The 20,635-nt window shown below is 41.9% G+C and overlaps 1 protein-coding gene across 3 annotated transcripts; it reads left to right on the top strand.

The window, feature by feature from the left end:
• The first annotated feature begins 1,208 nt into the window (after positions 1 to 1,208).
• On the top strand, positions 1,209 to 20,408 carry LRATD1 (LRAT domain containing 1). 3 transcript variants are annotated; one of them, NR_144632.2, is made up of 5 exons: positions 1,209 to 1,429; positions 2,436 to 4,136; positions 10,464 to 10,608; positions 17,808 to 17,945; positions 18,031 to 20,408. NR_144632.2 is itself a non-coding variant. In NM_001369364.1 (3 exons), exon 3 carries the CDS (start codon positions 2,472 to 2,474, stop codon positions 3,348 to 3,350), a length of 879 nt encoding a protein of 292 aa, NP_001356293.1. In that variant the 5' UTR covers positions 1,209 to 1,429; positions 2,078 to 2,320; positions 2,436 to 2,471; the 3' UTR covers positions 3,351 to 8,533. The 3 variants fall into 3 exon arrangements, 2 of the variants coding, with proteins under 2 accessions (NP_001356293.1, NP_660158.2); NM_001369364.1 differs by lacking the exons at positions 10,464 to 10,608; positions 17,808 to 17,945; positions 18,031 to 20,408 and adding an exon at positions 2,078 to 2,320 and having other exon boundaries at positions 2,436 to 8,533; NM_145175.4 differs by lacking the exons at positions 10,464 to 10,608; positions 17,808 to 17,945; positions 18,031 to 20,408 and having other exon boundaries at positions 2,436 to 8,533.
• The last annotated feature ends 227 nt before the right edge of the window (positions 20,409 to 20,635 follow it).

Raw genomic sequence — 20,635 nt, forward strand, 5'->3', positions numbered from 1 at the left:
GGGAAAGAGGCCCAGAATACAAGGTTGTGCAGAATGCAAAGTCTATTCTCAAGGAATTCGCTTTGTAGGGAAGAGGTGGGGGGTTCAAATAGGAAGTATCAAATTCCTCATTGGGAAAGAAAAGAGGCTTCATAGAAAAGCTGCTGGAGCCCAGGCTTAAAGATGAGTAGCATTGGGGCCAGAACCAGATGTCTAAGAACTCTTTGAGGCTTAATGTTAGGAACTTTTGAAACTATTGGTCTGGAATGTTGTATATATGAAGTTCATTTTTTCAGCATCCAATATTCAGAACACATTCATTCATTAACTTTCCATCCAGAAATGTAATCATTAACTACTGCTGGAGCCTCCTTTCCCACAAAACCAAACAAAACTTGCTTAGCAATCCCAATTCTGAGGCTTGGAAAACACTTTTACATCCTACTCTCTGCTTGCATGTATGAACTCACATACATGAGTTGTGAGGTACTCCTCCTATATTCAGAAAATTGGAGGCCAATATCATAGGCACAGCCAGGGAATGCACCGGCCAAAGCTCAGGCTTTTGGGTGGCATTTGACACCAAGCTCCTTTTAAATCGGGCATCAGCTCTGGGTCAGCAGCCTCACTCCAGTCAAAGAAGAGGAGCCAAACGTCGCAGGAGCAATTTCAAAGACGTCTGGGGAACGAAAAGGGTCTTCGATCCAAGGACCAGCCTAGGGGCCATCGGGAACCAAGGCTCTGGGGGATCCCAGCAGGGCCCAGACGCCCGCCTCGGGCAATGTCGCTGCCTGCCCCGGGCCGCTCGCAGTGCCTGGGCCATACTGGGGTGCCCTGGGGTTTCTTCTCCATACCCAGACTCAGCTTCCCCGCTGGAGTCTGTCTTCCTGGAACACGGAACGCGGGCGGGCTGTGTTCTCAGTCACAATCAGCTCGGATGAGCTGGGGGGCGCGGGCGCAAGCGGGCATCGGCACCTGGCAGAAAGCGCCGCGCCCCCCGCGGGTGCGCACACCTCCGCTCCCCGGGGCGGCGCGCGGTCGGGTGTGCGGGGTACGGGGCGGGGCGGAGCGGAGCAGAGCAAAGCGCACAGGAGGCCCGCCTCTGCTCCCCTCCCCCGCCGGCGAAGATTGACACAGCTCGAGCACCCGCCCCAACCAATGAGCGCGTCCTGGGGCGGGCCCTGGGACCGGCTGCTCCGGCTACTTAGAGTCGTCGGCGCGGCGGTGGGAAAGCAGAGCCGAGCCGGGACTGTCCAGTGGGAGCAGGCGCCCCGGCCAGCGCAGACCTGGAGGCGCACGGGCGCCGCACCGCACGATTCGGCTCGGGGTAGAGCGGAGCCGCAGCCCCACGCGCAGCCCAGGACCCACTCGCCACCGCCGCTTCCTCAGCACCCATGGGGACCAGGAGACTTTAAAGGAGTTTGGGGTTTCGGGAGCAGGGAAATCACGGGTAGGGAGAAGCGGCTTTCTTTGCCTTGGAAACGGTTTTTCTTCATCCGATTGTTTGGATCCTGTGCTGGGTAGGAGGGAGAGGGGTCTTTGGGCTAAAAGTGAACCTCTCTACACACACACGCTCCCACCCACACCCACACACATACACTGCACTGGCTTTCTCCATCCTTCCCCTGCCTCTTTGTTAGGTTATTTTAGACAGAGCAGCCTCGCCCTGGCGCAGTCCCATTGGCCCTGATGGGGACAAGGCAAGAGAAGTAAGGGGCAGAGTGCACCTGCCTGTGAGGGCAGGTGTGCCCGGGTGCTTGGGCGTACGTGCAACGGCGAGCGTGCAAGCGTGGAGCTGAAATTGTGTACGAATGTGTGGGGTCTAAGTGTGCCAGTGTGTCGTCGCGAAGGTTTGTCATTGTGGGTGTATGTGACATACACCAGTATACCAGGCTGCCAGTGTCTGGACTCCCAAGTGTCCAAAATGTTGCTGGTGTCAAGTGAATGCCTGAGAATGTGTCTGATTGTCATTGTGCGAGCCGCTGTAAGGGGAGGAAGGCAACCTAGTGCAAAACTGGGAGGTGGGCTGGAGAGGGTGGGGACAGAAATGGGAGCTTGCTCCCAGCTCACTGGCCTTAGGCTCCCTTCTCCCTTTCAGCCCACCCCTCGGTCCTTCCTGGGTGTCCGTCTCCCACACTGCCACAGCCAGCACTCTCCTCCCCACCGGGACCCCGCAAGCTCTCCAGCCAGCCTGGGTGTTTTCTTCTGGGAGTTGGACCGAGTTCCCGGAAGGGGTCGGAGGCTGTGTGGTGGCGTCTGCTCTCGCCTGACCTGTGGCGGCTTCTCCGCCCCTCGTACCCCTGGGGAGGCACGGAGGACTCGGCTGGAAAGGGTGACTCCGGTGAGGGCACGTAAGCTAGCCGGCAGGTCCCAGGGGCACTGCACGTCTTGGGGAGGGACACCGAAAGGGGCAGCCCGGACTCTGACGGTGTCTCTGCCTCTCTGTGCCTCCGCAGATCCCCGCTCCTGGCCCTCGCCTCGCCACCTCATTGATGGGCAACCAACTGGACCGCATCACCCACCTCAACTACAGCGAGTTGCCCACAGGGGACCCGTCGGGGATTGAAAAGGACGAACTGCGGGTCGGGGTTGCCTACTTCTTCTCGGATGATGAGGAAGACCTGGACGAACGCGGGCAGCCCGACAAGTTTGGCGTGAAGGCCCCCCCGGGTTGCACCCCCTGCCCGGAGAGCCCCAGCCGCCACCACCACCACCTGCTGCACCAGCTGGTCCTCAACGAGACTCAGTTTTCCGCCTTTCGGGGCCAGGAATGCATCTTTTCCAAAGTGAGCGGTGGCCCTCAGGGCGCCGACCTAAGCGTCTACGCGGTCACCGCGCTGCCAGCGCTCTGCGAACCCGGCGACCTGCTGGAGCTGCTGTGGCTGCAGCCCGCGCCGGAGCCGCCCGCGCCCGCCCCGCACTGGGCCGTCTACGTGGGCGGCGGGCAGATCATCCACCTGCACCAAGGCGAGATCCGCCAGGACAGCCTGTATGAGGCGGGCGCGGCCAACGTGGGCCGGGTGGTGAATAGCTGGTACCGCTACCGCCCGCTGGTGGCCGAGCTGGTGGTGCAGAACGCCTGCGGCCACCTGGGCCTCAAGAGCGAGGAGATCTGCTGGACGAACTCGGAGAGCTTCGCCGCCTGGTGCCGCTTTGGCAAGCGGGAGTTCAAGGCGGGAGGGGAGGTGCCGGCAGGCACGCAGCCCCCGCAGCAGCAGTACTATCTCAAGGTGCACCTGGGAGAGAACAAGGTCCACACCGCCAGGTTTCACAGCCTGGAAGACCTCATCCGCGAGAAGCGCCGTATCGACGCCAGCGGCCGCCTGCGAGTGCTCCAGGAGCTCGCCGACCTCGTGGACGACAAGGAGTAGCCGCCTAGGGGCTGCCGGCCCCTCTGCCTCCCCCGCACCTCGCTCCCTTCCCTTCCCCGCACCCGGACTTCGCAGTCAGCGGTTCTCAACCTCTGCCCCGCCCCGCCACGCGCGTCCGCCGCCGGTGGCCCGGGCCCGGGCTGCACCCCCGCATCCCCAAGCCAGCGGCAGGAAGTCTCAGGAACTGCCCCAGGGCCGAAAGGGCGCCGCTGCGAGCGCCTGGCTGACAGCCACAGCGGTGGTGACGGTGCTGGGAGACCCCGCGTGCGCTTTCCCCTTGAGATGTAAACCGGGAACGGGGAAGGGGCTGAGGGGAGAAAGGACATGGCCTTCCCCGCGAGTCCATGGCCAGTGACTGTGGCCCGACTCGAAAACAACCCTCTTCTCAAAAGGGACCATCACCGCCCCGAGCGTGCGCACACAGACCGGTCGGAGGCGAGAACTGGTCTCTACAGGGCACAGTTCAGCTCCTCTGTGGATGCGTCCCCAGATCGCAGGATTTCCAAGAAATCGAGCCTGTCCCTTGTGCACTTGGGAATAATTCCCCAAGACAGCACTTCGGGATTCCGGGTTATCCTGAGGCTGCCCGGGACTTTTCCAGCTCTCCAGCCCCAGGTCTCCTGACATTGTGTTCCAGGCTGCGGGCTAAGCCAGACAGTGTTTGCCTCCGGTTCTTTCCACCGTGGGAAGCGAACGCCACCCCCACCCGCCTTTGCCTGCGAGTCTCCCTCGCTGGCAGAAGGGAAGCCGGCCCGGTCCCGGGAGGAAGATGGCGCTGCGAATTCGGTGAGGACAGCCGGCCCCGCCCCCGACAAGGAGCTCGCTCGTTCACCTGGTGTCTGGGAACTTGAATGTGTGAAGGGCGCTTATTGTTCTGAACCCTTGATTGCTCCCTCCTCGGGCTGCATTTCAAAAATAGTCATATTTTTAAAGGAGTTGGAGGAGAGGGAGGGGGAGGACATGGCACCATTCCAGAAACCAGCATTGTTACAACACCATAGCCAGTATATTTAGTTTGGCTTTTCCTAACATAGAAATCTTCAAAGCTGGGGAAGTGGAAATAAAGTTTTAAAAATGAGAGAGCAGTTTTCCAACTATGTCAACAAAGCCTATCGTGTTGATGTTTTTATTGACCATTTTAGCAACAGGCTAATAAAATTTCAAATTGAAATTTTTATTTTCATGGCTTTAATCCATGATAGTTTAAATACTGGGGGCCATTAAGAGTGGATGTAGCTAAGAGCTTAGCTAACATTGCCTTTTCACTCTATTTTTCTCAGATATTGTAAGCATTCTGTTTTTCAATATTGTAGTTAATTTTTTGGCTTTCAACAGCAGCCCTAGTAATGGTGGAGTTGTTAATTAATGTGTATATTGTACTGAATTTCTGTCAGTTAAGGGGTTCACTGCTTTGGTGGAAATTGGTGGAAATTGCTAGCAGGTTCCACGATGTTTATTTTTTTCTCCATGTTGTATATCATTACCATTTCACATACGCGTTTCTATTTTTCTTCCTCTCCTCCTGATCTCCTTAAAAATGAATCTAGAGTTGGTGGCTTTTTCCCCCTCCTCTTTGGCCAGTTCCACAGTTCAGTTCTTCCTGAAAACAGGGATGATGAACTTGTAGGATCAGGACAAATGTGTGTTTTTCAAAAACTTAAGGCTGGGTGTGAAACACCTTCTGTGGACAAGGATTTGTAAACTTCTCTCCTCCCTCCAGCTGCGGCCCCAGCCTAACTGATAGTTACTTGATTCAGTGTGCTAGACACTTAAATAGCATCTATGTCTCTTTCAAGGGAATTTGTCAAATAATGCTGTTTAGCTAATTGTTGCAAGCAATTGCATATTAACAGCTGTGATTTTGTTGGACAGCAAGTATTATGGCCAAAGCCAGTTTCTTGGCATTTCAAAAATAATGCAATAAAAACTAGTTGAGGTTAGCTGAGGCTGGAAATGCCTTTTTCATGGTAAATGATTCACTTCTATATTTTTCTTTCTTTTTCTTTTTTTTTCTTTGGTTTTCATCCTGGATTCATCCCCTGATCTTAAATCAAAACGTCAGATCAATGAACTATGAACTAAAGTATTTTTCTTAAGCCTATTGAGTGATTTATTTTTTAAAAAATGTTTAAATGCATATGCTTTTCTTTCAGCACAAACAACAGCAAAAACTTTTGTAATAACTAACTTACCTTTGCATGTATGAAGAACTGAGTCATTTATTTCCCTAACTTACTCCTCTTTCAAGTAACAGGTGGCAGATCATAAAATGAATTCTTTATTGTATCTACACACTCCACATTCTTTACTGTGTCCTACTACTGTATCTTGGCTCCCTGCTGTATTAAACACCATCTTAAGCACTTGTTCCTGCAGGACTCCTTCTTGACATTTTGTCTCCCCCTTCAAAGTCACTCAAAGAGTGGGACTTCATCAAAAGAAATGAATTAGTCTCTATCACACCGAATACTAAGATTTATTTCCTCTGATGGTACATAGATTTCTCTCTCACTAAGAGGGTCACTCTCATAGAGGAATGTCTTGTCAGTTTTATACTTGCTGAGGCTAGACTGACAATAAAAATGAGCTGGGCAGTTAAATTAGCATTTGTTACTATATTGGCCTATAAAGGATCAGGTTGATGATAATACCTCTAAAAATATGCAATAATAAAACAATAGTTATGAAAGAAACTTGAAAGGTTTGCAAGGTTTCTCCTATCCCTGTTAAAATTATCATTTATTATCTCTTTGTCAGTGTTAGTAAGGTAACCCATGACAGAATAATTTGAGTGATAGTTCATCATGCAGAGGATATGATCAAGATATTACCTAATGGTTTTATCCTGAAAAAGGTGTATACTTTTAGGGCACTGTTAACAATGCGAGTGAAACCAAGATGGTGCAAGTTCCCTTTGCAGATGGCGTGGGCACACTTGATTTTTATTATGAGTGAATGTAATCTTTCTGTATTTTACCAGAGTTACAGCAATTACCTGAAAAGTTTCCTAACATTTTAATAATGTTAGGGATTTCGTTTTGGTTTTAGTTGTCCTCAAGAGACAACAGGTTCACAGTAATTTCCATGATGTTGGGTGTGGCTAAGCTGGGGATTGGTTCTGTTCCCCCTGCTCCCGTGTAGAGAAAAGCTATATTTATACTGCATTCTTTCTCAACTTTCAGGTAAAACAAACTATGATTTAAAAAAAGAAAAAAGAAAAGACAGGTACTTTTACTTCAAAGAGTGCTTTGCTACATTTTTATTTAAACCAAAAATCAAATAAAATAAGGAGGGGGGCTGGGTATACTTTAAACAAAACCAGTCCTGAAATGCTGTTATTCTCAAAGTACATTCCAAAAAAAAAAAAAAAAAAAAACTATAGAATTTACGTATGTTACATTTTTAAGTATGAGTTAAATTGATATAAAGTGTTCCTCAATATTTAATAATGTAAGCTGTTGTCATGACAGTATTTTTTAAAAATAATAACGTATATTATAGTTACGAAACACTTGTGCCAGATTAGAACATCAAGCACAGAAGCAGCTGTATGATTTACCTGTTTTTTTGAAACTTTAATGTTTACCTTCCCCTATGTTTAATTTTTCTGTGGTGAACACTTTTGTTAGAACATGGCTTTTTTATTTTTCTTGGAAAAATATGCTATTAGTATTTACAAAATAATTAATTACCTGAATAAGCAGTATATACTAAAAGTCTTCAAACATTACTTTATTGATTACTTATGTTTTGTGGTGCGCTTTCAACATCCCTAAGAGTTAAATGTCTTAGTCATCTAATACATGGAACAGGGTCAAACTTCAATGAAATTAATACTTATTGCACAATCATAATATAGCAACCTAATTTTCTTTTATTTATAGGCATATCTTTAAAGCTTTCTTCTCTTTTTTGAACAAATGAAGAGAATCCAGTTAGTTTTTGCCTTTCAGAGGTGATTTGCCACGTGCACAAAGGGTCTGTAGGTGAAAAGACAGGCTTTTGGGTTTCTTGAAACATCAAAAACTGAATTTAGAGAATGGTTATCTAACACTCAAGTCAATGTTTTTTTTGAAATTACTAGCTATTGGTATAATATACATATATGTACATGTATACATATACATACACACATATGTACATTTACACATATGTAAGTATACACTCATATACATATATACACATGTATATATACTTGTGTACACATACATTTTTGCCTATAGCTAGCAATTATTTCATTCAGATACACACACACACACACACACACACAGGCTACTTAAAATAGAGAGTGACTTGAGATATACAAAAACAGGAAGAAAAGCCCTGGAGGTCATATAGCTAATGTATAACTGCACAGCAAGCAGCTATGTCTAAAGCTAACAATAAAAAGAAAATGTGGGAGTTGTGCAATTAGTTTTATTCTCATTTTTTGGAAGAATATGTTCCTGGTTTCTCTAACTAAAAGGAAAAAATTCAAAGGAAAGTTGTAAATATTAGGAAGTAACTGAAAAATAAGAAGCAAGATAAAGTGGGGAGGCTATGAGATCATATAATGAGCTAATAAACTTTTCAACAGGGGACACCTGTTCTCCCTTCTAACTGAAGACACTAAAGAGAAGCTAAGATCCTATCTTTCAATCATTTAGTAATTCATAAAATCCCATTATTTCATAACTCAAAGTTTACCTTTGAGGTTGTATGTTTACCTCATTTGAACTCGAAATAGAAGAGGTTTAAGTATTTGAATAAGTTGGGAAAAAAAGGAAAAATAGTCTTCCCTGCCCTTGTCACTGATGGTGACACTACTTGTAATTACTGTATTTTTTGGCAGAACACTCAGATGAACAGATTCCTATGCTGTGGACTTTTATCATTCTTTTTGATGGCTGATAGTAGAAAGCACACAGTAGGTACTCCATAAATGTAAGACTATGGCAGCTGTCTAGTACAAGTGCTTCTCACTGATTCTTGGTTACCAGGAAAACCAGAAAGCCCGTCACTTGCCTTGCCTGCAAAGGCGAGCCTAAAGAAATTTCTCTAACCAAAATTGGCAGGTTCTTTCCACCACAAAAGGCTCTTGGAAATATAACTTATGGGGCTTAAGGCTAATTTGAGTTGAAGGGTATTTGTAATATTTGATTTGCTTTTAGCAGAGAAAACAATAAAAGAATCCAGGAAAAGTAGAAAATGTTCTCTTGTCATTTGGTCAGAAAGGGAAAAGCGAAGGGAAAAGCAAAATAGTTCCAACTGTAACTTTCACAACTTCATCTCTCATTCACCTCAAGGAGAGATTTTTCTCGCATGAAATCACAAGATTATTCCTTCAGAAGGAAGCTTATTGTAGCTCTTGCTAAAAATTTTCTTTGGTATATGGGAATAGATTTACTAGATGTACACTTAACTCTGGGAAAATTAGATTTGATGGAGTTTGGTCATGGGTGTTTTTCTAAATACACATTACTCATTTATATATTAAAATAATTGCTATGCCTCTTGGCTTTTATAATCCAGTTCTTAATATGAACATGAGTTCTGAACTTTATTTTGTCCAAAGGATAGATACTTATGAAATACTAGGTATGAATAGAGTCAGTGTCCTAAATTTCAAGCACAAAATGAATGCTTCAAAAGTTACTTTGAGCATCATTTAATGTTTCAAAAAATTGAAAAAGATCATATAAGGCTATTGCTTATATGTATCCTAAGGAAATTCTTGCCATCAATGGGTGATACAGACATTAATGTTCTATTTGAGAGCTTCTTTATTATAAGTACACTGACATTTACTTTAGCAAATAAGTTATTATTCTAAATTCAGTTATTTTCCCTGTGACAGCCCTGTGACATACCAGCTCTTTGCTCACTTCCAAGTCCACTGTAGATTTCAGATTCTGCAAGGGGGTGAGCAGATCTAGGGAGATCATACCCATGATGACTTTGTAAAACATCTCTCAACTCCCAACAGCACACGCACTTTATTTCTTCCCACCTTTCACTTCTCAGTGCAAGTGTCTGCCCAGGGGGTCTGAGCTAGAGGGAGGCAAGGCTCAGAGGTAGGATTACCAGATTTAGCAAATAAAAATACAGGATGCTCAGTTACATTTGAATTTCAGATAAATTATTGTTGATTTTAGGATTATAGTTTTAGGATAAATATGTTCCCTGCAATATTTAGGTTGTTTGTACTAAAACTTATCTGTTTATCTGAAATTCAAATGTAAGTGCATGTCCAGTATATTATCTGTCAACCCTTCTCAAGGATAATTTTATCAACTCTAAGAAGCAATAGAGCCCCCTGACTTTTTGGAGCTGGCGAACTAAGGACACACCCCCTACCCACAACATTGAGGTCCTGTGAGATTTTCCATGTGTCTTTTAAGGCCAGAGTCAAATTCAGTCCCAGGAATGAGCACATAGTGCAGGAGAAGCCTCAGAAGAGTTCACAGCCCCCATGGTCGTTGAGAGAGAGTTGGTTGTGTGTATGTGTAGGTGCGGGTGGGTAGGTGTTTCTTGTACTCTCTTGATTCTATTTTATAACAGACACCATCCTTTACCTGGGGATATGACGAATACTTTCCTAGGTATAGTCAGGAATACTGTATACTACTGTTTTTTATCCCACCTATTTATCCCAATCTGGATTGTCACTTTACACCTGGCTATTTCTATAGCTTCCTCACCTGTCTCTACCCCTCTAGCTCCTCTATCCAAACACCTGTGCCTATAGTGATGTATCTAACCACAGAATCATCACTCCCAAGTAAAGCCTGAGCTCCTTAGTGGGGCAGTCAGCATATTCCATGGTCTGGCCCCTATCTTCACCGACTTGCATTTCCTTCAACTCTCAGCTTATACTTGGGTCGCACAGGACTTTTTGTAGAACACGTAGTTTTCATTCATACTTCCATGGCTTTCTATGTTGTCCCCTTAACCTGATTACCATTCTAAATTCCAGAACAGCAAACTCTTATTCATCTATGCTTTATGCCGAGCTCCATGCTAGCCCCTCAGGTGGCTTTAGTCATTTTCTTTTGTAGCTCCCATTGTAGTTTGTTAGCACCCCCAGACTCTCTCTTCAACTACAAATACCAATTTATGTCTGTCTCTTCCTAGGTCTACTGGGGAAGGCTCTGTGACTTGCTCTTTTTTGCTGCTGGAAAGTCTAACACTTGCAGTAGGTGCTAAATTAGAGTCTATTCACTCAATGGAGGAACTGGGGAAGGTATGTGAGGAATACCGCCCAGCATCTATCTAGGAGGTAAACCACGGTAGGAATGGGCTAACGGTGTGTATCAACTTATACGAGATTCTCCTTAAGAATCATACAGTAGAAATTTAGTTTCTGTTTAGAAAATAAGCTGGAATGATGTGAACCTTCACTGTGGTATATTATACTGCAAGTGATGGGAGATTAGCTATACAGAGTTTAAAAGGTTTCTCTGTCCTGGGTATAATGGTACAAACATTTCTTCTTGAATGAACTTTATGAGTTTCATTACTATGGAAATATAGATTTTTCTCCTCTTGGTCATTTAATTTCTGCCCAGGTGAGGTAGTTGTGGGTGTTGCAAATTTCAAAGGCACCTGAGGTTTGATTTGCAAGAATTAAAGATGAGACTAGACATTTCTTGAATAGACCACTGTAGTGAATGGGCTGTAGACTGCCCGAGATGTTCAGTCAGCGGAGAAAGAGTCTACTGAAAACCTAAGTATTGTTTACCTTTTGGAAAGTAAAATCTCTCCCAATCTTACTAAGCAAATTCATCTACATTCACCTACAGCATGTATGGGGTCGGGGGGTGGGGGCAGAAAATCACCTTGCCTGACCTTCCAGTAGGGGGAGCAGAAGAAAAACAGCCTCCTTTGATTGACGGTTGGACCTCCAGGCTGGTTGAACAGCTAGAATAATTTGAAATGCAATTGAGCACTGAGAATGTAACTAGATTAATGTCTTATGAAATATATATGCTTTTATATTGATGTGTTCCTTGGAACTCCTAGGAGGAGCACCCCTTACTTTTATAGGGACTTATTATTCTCTTAGCACCTCTGGACATTTAATTTAGTTTAATCTGGTTCTGGACATGGTTAAGGTTGCCTGTATCTAAGACAAGCTACTTTAATTTGGGATTTTAAACCACAATATCCTGTTGAGAAAAAAAGTGTCAAAATTCTAGAGAGCTTCTTTAGAGTGAAATATTATTACTAATTTGGGATTCGAAATCCAGGTAAATAGAGGTTCTGGTAAAATATTGCTTATGCCCTGAGAGCAATTTCCAGAGTAGACAGTGGAGGAGATTTTTCATTATGCAGCCTCACTATTCTGATTTCAGAAATCAGTGCCCCTTGCATGTGTCTGCTTTATTTGTGTATAATTTTATAAGACAGGATCTATGAAAGAAAATGAGAGGAGAGGTAGTTACTCCATCCTTTATAGGCCAACAAAACAAAGGCTCTAAATCCAGATTAATTCTGCGTATGTTACTTCCTTACAGCCTTTAAGGACTTTCCATAACTCATAAGATAAAACCCAGACTCCCTGGCAGCACGCAAGCTCTGCTCCAGTCTGTCCGGTACTCCCCTCCTCCAACCTCAACACCCAGCCTCTGAAGCTTCATCCCCTGATCTTCACAGTGCATTCTCACTGGGAGCCATCTGTACTGGACCACCTACCTTTCCCCAAAAGCCTAGTAGTTGTATGCCTTTGCTCAAGCTGTTTCACTTGTGTGGAGCATTCTTCTCCTCTACTTGGCACATGTAAAAGTCCTCCTCATCCAGAGTCCTGGTGAGAATGCTGTTCACTTACCAGCTGTTCTGTGAAGCTTCTCCTTTTCCTACAACACCCCCTACAAAAACAGCTAAAACTGGCCAAATTCATCCTCTCCCATTTGAACTTCTGGTGTAGCACTTTCTCCAAACATTTAATGATCATGCCGTCCATTTAATATTACAGTTTTCAGCCCCTAAACTATGTCAAACATAGTCTGTTTAAGTTAATGAGAACCTGATTGCCTTCTGAAATAAGTTTGAGGAAGGTGTCTTGGCACTTTGATCTTTGATTGGTTAGTAACTAGTATCTGGTCTATAGTAGGTCCTCGATCAATACTGACTTAATTCTCTGAATCTAATTTAATTCAAAAACAACTATTCTACAGCAAGAACAGTAAGTTGTATTTTGAAATTAATGTCCTAGTGGGAGATAAACTCCTTAAACATGTGTTGGGTCCCTAATAAAGGCAAGCATTTTTTTTTTAATTTCACGTGGATACAAAGCATAGTCTAGATTTCAAGAACGAGACAGGACAAAGGAGACAGGCCCACTATTAGCTATAATCCATTATAGCCTGGAATATAGGTAATTACCCAGGTATAATTTTTTAAAAAATACCATAGGAGTTCAAAGGAAGAATCACTTGAAGGTATACATCAGCTTCAAAAAACAGTCATTGACTGGCATGGCATATTTGGATGATGTTTCTGAGATAATTACACATTTTTGTTAATTTTTTATTATTAGGTAGAAATATAGATAAATATACTTTCTTGTTATTTAAATATAATAGACTATCTTCTGTCATTGTATATTAAATACTATTTTAGAGTGAGTTTGGTCTTATGAAGTCTGTAGAAGTACAGTTTAAATGTGTTTAAGCGAAGTCCTTTTGATGTTGAACTACCAAGATCAGCAGATTATTAGCATTAGATTTAACAATTAATTCACCTCCCAGTGTATACTTGTAGACATGGTCTTTGATTGATAGATTGATTGGATGCCTAAGATTCAGTTCACAGGGTTGGGACAGGTTCTTTAATCGGTAACTGTGAAAATGCAAGAGCTTCTTGGAGTGGGGCTGGACCCAAAGCCGTGATGACCTGAGAGGATAGTCTCACCCAAGGAGAGAGGCCGAGCTGATAGACAGGAAGACAGGTTCATAGGCCAGTGCTGAGGAGCTAGGGGAGCTATAAAGAGAAAGAACAAGCAGGATGTTGGAGCTATGAGGACAACTATCAGATGCAGTGTGCAGAATGTTGCAGGACCAAGACCCTTTTCCAAAGTAGAAATAATAATTGAGGTGCAACAGTTGCTAAAAGGGAATTAACAACTCTAAAAAAATGGTATTGGCTCACAATCTATATAAATATTTCAATTTTAAAGCATATTGTGTTTAATTTAAAATGGCCTTCTGAAGGAAAAAGCAAAACAGAAAACCTGTTAACTTTGACAGTATTCTTTCAATATAAATAATTGAATTTCTTTGAAGAAAAACAAATCTGAGCCTCTTGTCCAAAGAAATCTTGAATTTGCTCATGTGTTTCCAATGGCCTTTGGCACATAGCATTGGCTTTCTAAATGCCTCTAATAACTACAGTAAATGTCTCTATGAAATTCAGCACATCATACAAATGAAATGTTCCTTCTTGTGTGCAATTCCCATTTACTTTAAGAAGGAGAAATTCCAGATTATATACAAAGATTGATAAGTTTGCCAAAATATCCAGGTATATAACCATCAGCTTCTGGACTGCAATTCCTTAATGTTAATGAATTCCAAAGAAAAACAGCTGACTTTATGCATTTATTTTAATAAGGCTGTGAAAACAGTCCATTTACAGTGTAAAAACCCCTTGTCTTTTAAAAATGCTAGACGGAATCTTTTAATAAATTAAATTTATCTGCCTGTCAAATTGACAAGAACCTTCAAGGAGTATTGCTGATGTTGTAGTTCTACTTTTCCAATAGGATTACATCTGGAATTTAATAAGGGCTGCTTAGAGGAAGAATCTATCCATCAGGGTAATTTTAAGTAACAAATATTTATATAATATCTTAAGTCTCCAACCTTATAGGGCCACAATGATTTTGTTTCCTTTGAAAAAACCTTTTATTACTTACAATAGTGTCCTGAATATCATATTTGCTTATAAAGATGAAATAACGCAAGGAGGCAACTAAGTCTACAACATCAGAAGAATAATTATTGACATTTGCTCAGAAATGTATAGCTTACATAGTCAATTGTCCTCATGACCAACCTTGTGTCTGTCAGGTCTTACTGTTCCCTGCATACAAATAGGGACACTGAGGCTTGGAAGGGGAAAACACCCAACTCAGTATCACTTATCTTGCATTTAGTACACCCAGCACTTTAACTCAGGGGTTCTGATCCAAAACGTTAACATCTGTCTGTCCTTTGTAAGATTTTCCTGGAATAATCAAATGTCTCCCTCCACCTTTTTCTTATAGAACAAAACCCATTTAATGTTTTCAGTGAATGCCTGGGGTATTTATATCAAAGTTCTAGTAGTGGCCAGTTAATGAAGATGAGCTCTTAATTTTTCACAATGATCTACCTTAGAGAGGTAGGTATCAGGGTATTCAAAAAGGCAAATCCATTCAAACTCTGGACCAATTGTATAACACACACTAACCACCTATACTTGATGTCCAACCTCCTGGAATGAAAGTCTCAAGTACATGTCCAAATGTCAAAATGGAATCAAGCCTCAATTTTCAGATTCTTTTGTTTTTCATCCTCAACTTTAGAAACAGAGGTGCATCTGTTGGATAATAGTCAAGGCGTCTGTGTCGGTAACCAGGGGTCCAAGGTAATTCTCAAAGGACTTTTCATTTATTCATCAATAAATACTATGCTATTGATCATGTGTTGGGAAAAATGTCTTTCAAAAATAAGTTGAACAAGAACAAACGTCAATGCATAGCATGCTTTTAATAAGAAGTTAAATATTCTGGATAAAAAGTGTATTTGCAATTTTAATCAAAATTTTTCCAGCAACAACCTGCAATAGTTGTACAAAATAATAACTGTTTAGTGACTGGCCAGGCCTAACAGCAGGGTAATGACATGAGACAGGCCAGGCACTAATCTGGATGAAGGACCTATTTACACATGTAAAGATCCCTATTTAACTTAGCTGGAAGAGCATTACCATGAGATGCTGCAGTAAAACAAGTTACCCATGACCATTCTCATTAAAACATATCTGGTATCCATTTCTAAATTAGATTAGTTATTCCTCATGAACCATGAACTCACTGGAGATCAAAATAGACCCAAATAAATGAAACCCACTCAGTAAATAGTCTCAGAGAAAGATGGTATATGGGAAAGGACATTGGACTTGAAAAACACGTGGCTACACATCCAACTCTTTGCTTCTTGGACAAGTCACTGCCCTGAGCCTCTATCCCTCAGCCTTTTAACAGGAGACTATGAACCCTAACTCACAATGTTAGGATGAAGCTGACTAAATGTCTATAAATCTGTCCACCCACAATCCTTTGTACATAAAAGGCAATCAGCAGACATTAGCTGAATTAAGTTAAAATACTAAGTGAATTTTCTTTTATCACTGAGATTGCAGGTTTCCCAATTTTTGAATGTGTTTTATTTGTCTTTATAGGTGATAAATCTTTGGAGAGAATGGGTCTTCTCTTACTTATTTTTTAACCCCCTTAGCTGAATTTCAGACATGAAGTAGTTCAAACACTTCTTGATAAAAGTCAAAGGGCAACTAAAATTTTATCCAAATAGAGGTGCTCTGAGGACAATGAAAATGGGTGTTTCTTAGAATGAATATATGAACTACTTGCTGTGGACTCAATAATTTTACCCTCCCCAAATCCATATGTTGAAATCCTAACCCCCAAAGTGATGATATTAGGAGATGGGGCCCTTGGGAGGTGTTAGGTCATGAGGGTGGACCCCTCATGAATTGGAATAGTACCCCTATAAAAAGACACTTAAGACCTTGCTTTTTCTCTCTATTAGCCATGTGAGGATACAATGAGAATATAGCAATCTGTAACTATTAAAAGGGCCCTCACCAGAACTTGATCATGCTGACACTGTGATCTCAGATTTTCAGCCTCCAGAACTGTGAGGATAAGTCACTCAGTTCATGGTATTTTAACCCAAATGGACTATGACACTATTCTATTAAAGGAAGTACAAATACTTCCTCCTAATATTTTATTCAATGACTGCATCTAAGCTGCACTGAAAGTCTAAAAATAGTACCCACAGCTGTGTTCCCATGGCCAGAGGATTCTCCAGGCATTATCCTCCTACCCTTCACTGAGAACTATTGCACTCTCGTCTATGTTCACTGCTTTTAAGGACTTCCCAATGCTTACAGTTAACTTCTCTGCCCTTTCAACTGAAAACTCTATTGCAAGGTTTATCTCTGTTGTATATTGGAGGAAGGTCTTACACGCATGATTCTTTATTATAAAAGTTATGTTTTTATTTGTGTCTTTACTCAGACTTTTAAAAGTGAGAGGAAAATTGTATAAATATTGTATCCCTCAGTCTGTAGAGGCATCAGTTCCTCATAGACTCTGTCTCCCCTTTGGAGCCTCTGCCTATTTTATTAGCACAGCAGTTCTCAACCTTCTTGGTCTTAGGGCCTTTAAATTACTGGGGAGGCCATAGAGTTTTTTTCTATGGAAATTATATTTGTCAACATTTGCCACGATAGAAATAATACTAGATTTTAAAATATTAACACTTTTTAAAATTCCAAATCACAAAACTATTACCTGTCACATAGTGATGCTTTTTGTAAAAGGAACTATATATTCCAAAGAGAAGAGTGAGAAGAGTGGCATTGTTTCACACTTTTGCAAATTTTTTAAATGACTGTTTTAATAGAAGACAACTGGATTCTTATGTCTGCCTTTGCATTCAAACTGTTCTCATATAACACATCCTGTAACCTTTGTCAAACCCCTGTAAACACTTGTATAAGAATTAGAGGAGAAAAGCCAAAATGGTAGAATTGTGAAAATGGTTTTGAGCTTGTGCATCCTGTAAAAGAGTCTCCGGGATCCCACAGGATTCAGGACCACACTTTGAGAACCACTGCAATGAGATCTTGCCTAGCTTTCCAAGTAGCTTCCAACTAGCTTCTCCTGGTGTTCATACTCAGGACGTCCATCTGCCAAATCACCACATCAGTGAAATACACATGTAACTGGCATGAAGTAATACAATCAAAACTATCCTGTTTTTTTGAATCCCACATTTATTCATGAAGGTAGTTTCTCCCCTGTCACTGGGTAAAGTCAGGCCAGTTCATTAATGTTTCTCTTCTCTCTTAGGTAACAGAAAGTTCTATGGTGCTCCAAGTTGCAGAAACAAAATCTCAAGTGGAGCTTGAAAAGCCTATACCCTTCAAAGAGTCAATTTACAACTTCATTAAAAGTCCTGGGACTTGCCTCTCTCCCAGTGGGAACAGCTTTGCCTGTCTTTTACTTTTTGACCTATGTTGATAACTCTAGACCCCACTCCTCTAGAGCATGAGCATGTGTAGGGGTTGGGGGAGGGGGGATGTGGAGAGGATGGTGGAGGAAGGCTAGTAAAGCAGTCAGGAAATATATGACTTCATTGGCACTTTTATTAAATAAAAACATTGTGTTTTTCTTGTGCCTAGCAGAATTTTAGAGTTGGATCTTTGTCTCATGGATGCTCTTAGGAGACCCACCAACCACCAACTCCTTGTATTGCAACTGGACCCCCTCGACCTGGGTGAATGTACTCTTTTCAGCAACCATATCCTCCCTCCTGTTGCCAGGTAAGGTGAGAAGCAATTCCTCTGCCTAGAAGCTCTGCCGGGTGAAATATCAGGAGATCCCACCCAAGCTTTCTCTTGCGTGTAGCCTATATCCAGCACGGGAGCATAGGCTAATCCTGCAGTTGGCCAGCCTCTTGTCCTCTGGATATCCTGGGATGGAATCCTAATGAAGGAAACTCCAGTGGTTTACTGAAGCCCTTTGTGCTAGGCCTGAGGTGAGATAGAATTGCTCCATCCTATGCCCAGGAGGCCTGCGTGGACTCACAGTGCACCACCATCCTCAGAAATCCTCTCTCCCTGTAGGCTGTGGTCTGAATCTTTGTGTCTTCCCAAAATTCATATGTTGAAATCCTAACGCCCCAGGTGATGATATTAGAAGATGGGGCCTTTCAGGAGTTGACTAAAACTTCAGGGAAAAGCCCTCACAAATGGGATTAGTTCCCTTATAAAATAGGTCCAAGGAAACTTGCTCACTTCTAACACCATGTGAGGACACAGTGAGAAGGCACCATCTATAAGCCAGAAAGCAGTCCCTCACCAGACATAGATCTGCTGGCACCTTGATCTTGGACTTCTCACCCTCCAGAACTGGGAGAAATAAGTGTATATTGTTTATAAGCTACACAGTTTATGATATTATAGCAGCCCAAACAGACATTGTATTTCCTCAATGTTGGTTTAAGAGTTGTCTGAACCAGTTTCTTGTTATCATACTGTGGATGTTTCTAGCTCTCACTGTAGCATTCCACCTCTTTTCTGTCTCAGTGACTTAGTCAAAGCATCTAGTTGAACACTCTGTTATTTAAAGAAACCAGCATTCACTGGCTGTTCCCAGCTCCAGGAACTCAGGTGGATTCATAATTTGTTCTGTTTCCTTGCTCTTAGGAAAAGTACTGACAGCTCATAATTGGTTGTATTTCTTAGGATATTTGCATTTAAACTAGAAGCAATGCTTTCTTTTCTTGGTATAATTTGTCTTACATTTTTGAAAGTAATAGCTATTCATTAAATTACATTTGAAAATGCAGGAAGAAAGAAAAAATTGTCTATAATTCTACTACTCATATAAAACCACTATTCACATATGTGTACTTTCCTCTATTAACCTTTCAAAGCATGCCTCAATTTTAATTGTATTCACACAAATACAATTTTATGCCATACATTTTACTTATTAATATGCTATTAGCATCACCAATGTCAATATAAACTCCTTGTAAACATCAATTTAATGGTTGCAAAGTATTACATCAACTGGATATGCCATGGCTTATTTAATCACTGTATTTATTGTTAAATATTTGCATTGTTTACATTGTTTAGTATTGAAAACCACGCTGCAATAAATATCTTTGGATAGATTCTTTTTTCTTTGTTTTGGGTTATTTCCTTGGAATATATTTCTGGATATGGAGTGACTGAGTAAATGAACATGAAAGATTTTAGGATACACACATACACATTTATGTGCATATACACACACTGTTTTGCAAAAAGCTAACATATGCCTATGTTCATGGCCTGTCACAATCATTGATACGTGAAATCTCACATTCTTTATTGATTGATTTCTTTTTATTTACGATCTTAATTTCCATCCTGCTCATCCTCATCATAGGACCCCAGTCTAATATGCTTAATATATATCTCTTTATTTGTACATGGTCATATTAGCATGAATTTTTATTTTGTGTTTACGTACTATAAATGCACACAAATGATGTTGTGCTATGGATCTCATATTGTTTCTTTTTTTTTCACCTAGCACTAGGTTTTTAAGATCTATTTACATCATAGATCCGTCTAAGACTACTGGGTGCTGCCTGATTTGCTTCTATGCATCCATTATGCTATACTTCTCTTAACTAGCAGACTTCTGTGGATTGCATCTAGCTCTGCACTACAACAAATAGTGCTGCTATAATTTTCCCCAGTCCTTGCCACCTCCTGGGTAAGAGAGAATGCTAGGTCATCAGACATACATACACCTTTCTGAACTAAGTACTGCCTTATTGCTTTCCAGAGTGATTCCTCCAGTCTGTGTTCTCAGCAGCTGTGCATATGAGTCTCTGTAACCACAATTCCCATCCATACTTGGCATTATCCATCTTCCTAATTTTCCCACTCTGGCAGTTGCAAAGTGATATCTCATGGTTGTTTTCATTTGTATTTCCCTAAATACCAGGGAGTTTGAGCATCTTTTCATATGTTGGTTAGTCATTTGCGTTTCTCTAATCTGATTTGCCTGTTTATATCTTTGTCCATTTATCTGATAGGGTTTTCATTTTTTCTCATTATTATCATAAATATTAATAATGTATTTTATATTTTTGATAGAATTTTATATTCTTGAGAAAATCTTGTGGTTTTGTTTAATAGATTGATTCATAGATTTCTTTGTTATATCTAAGGTAAATGTACATATTGTAAGTTGGTGATAAATTTATTTTTTGATAAATGCTATTAATTTTTATGTATTGATTTTATTCCAGTAGTCTTGGACCTTTCTTTTTGTTTCTCAACTTTGTCAGTTCAATCATATTTTTTAAAAAAATAAAGTCTGCACGTTGGAGGCTGAGGTGGGTGGATCACAAGGTCAAGACATTGAGACCATCCTGGCTAACACGGTGAAACCCCATCTCTACTAAAACTACAAAAAATTAGCCGGGCATGGTGGCATGTGCCTGTAC

Source organism: Homo sapiens, chromosome 2 (assembly GCF_000001405.40).
Source record: "Homo sapiens chromosome 2, GRCh38.p14 Primary Assembly".
Lineage (NCBI taxonomy): Eukaryota > Metazoa > Chordata > Mammalia > Primates > Hominidae > Homo > Homo sapiens.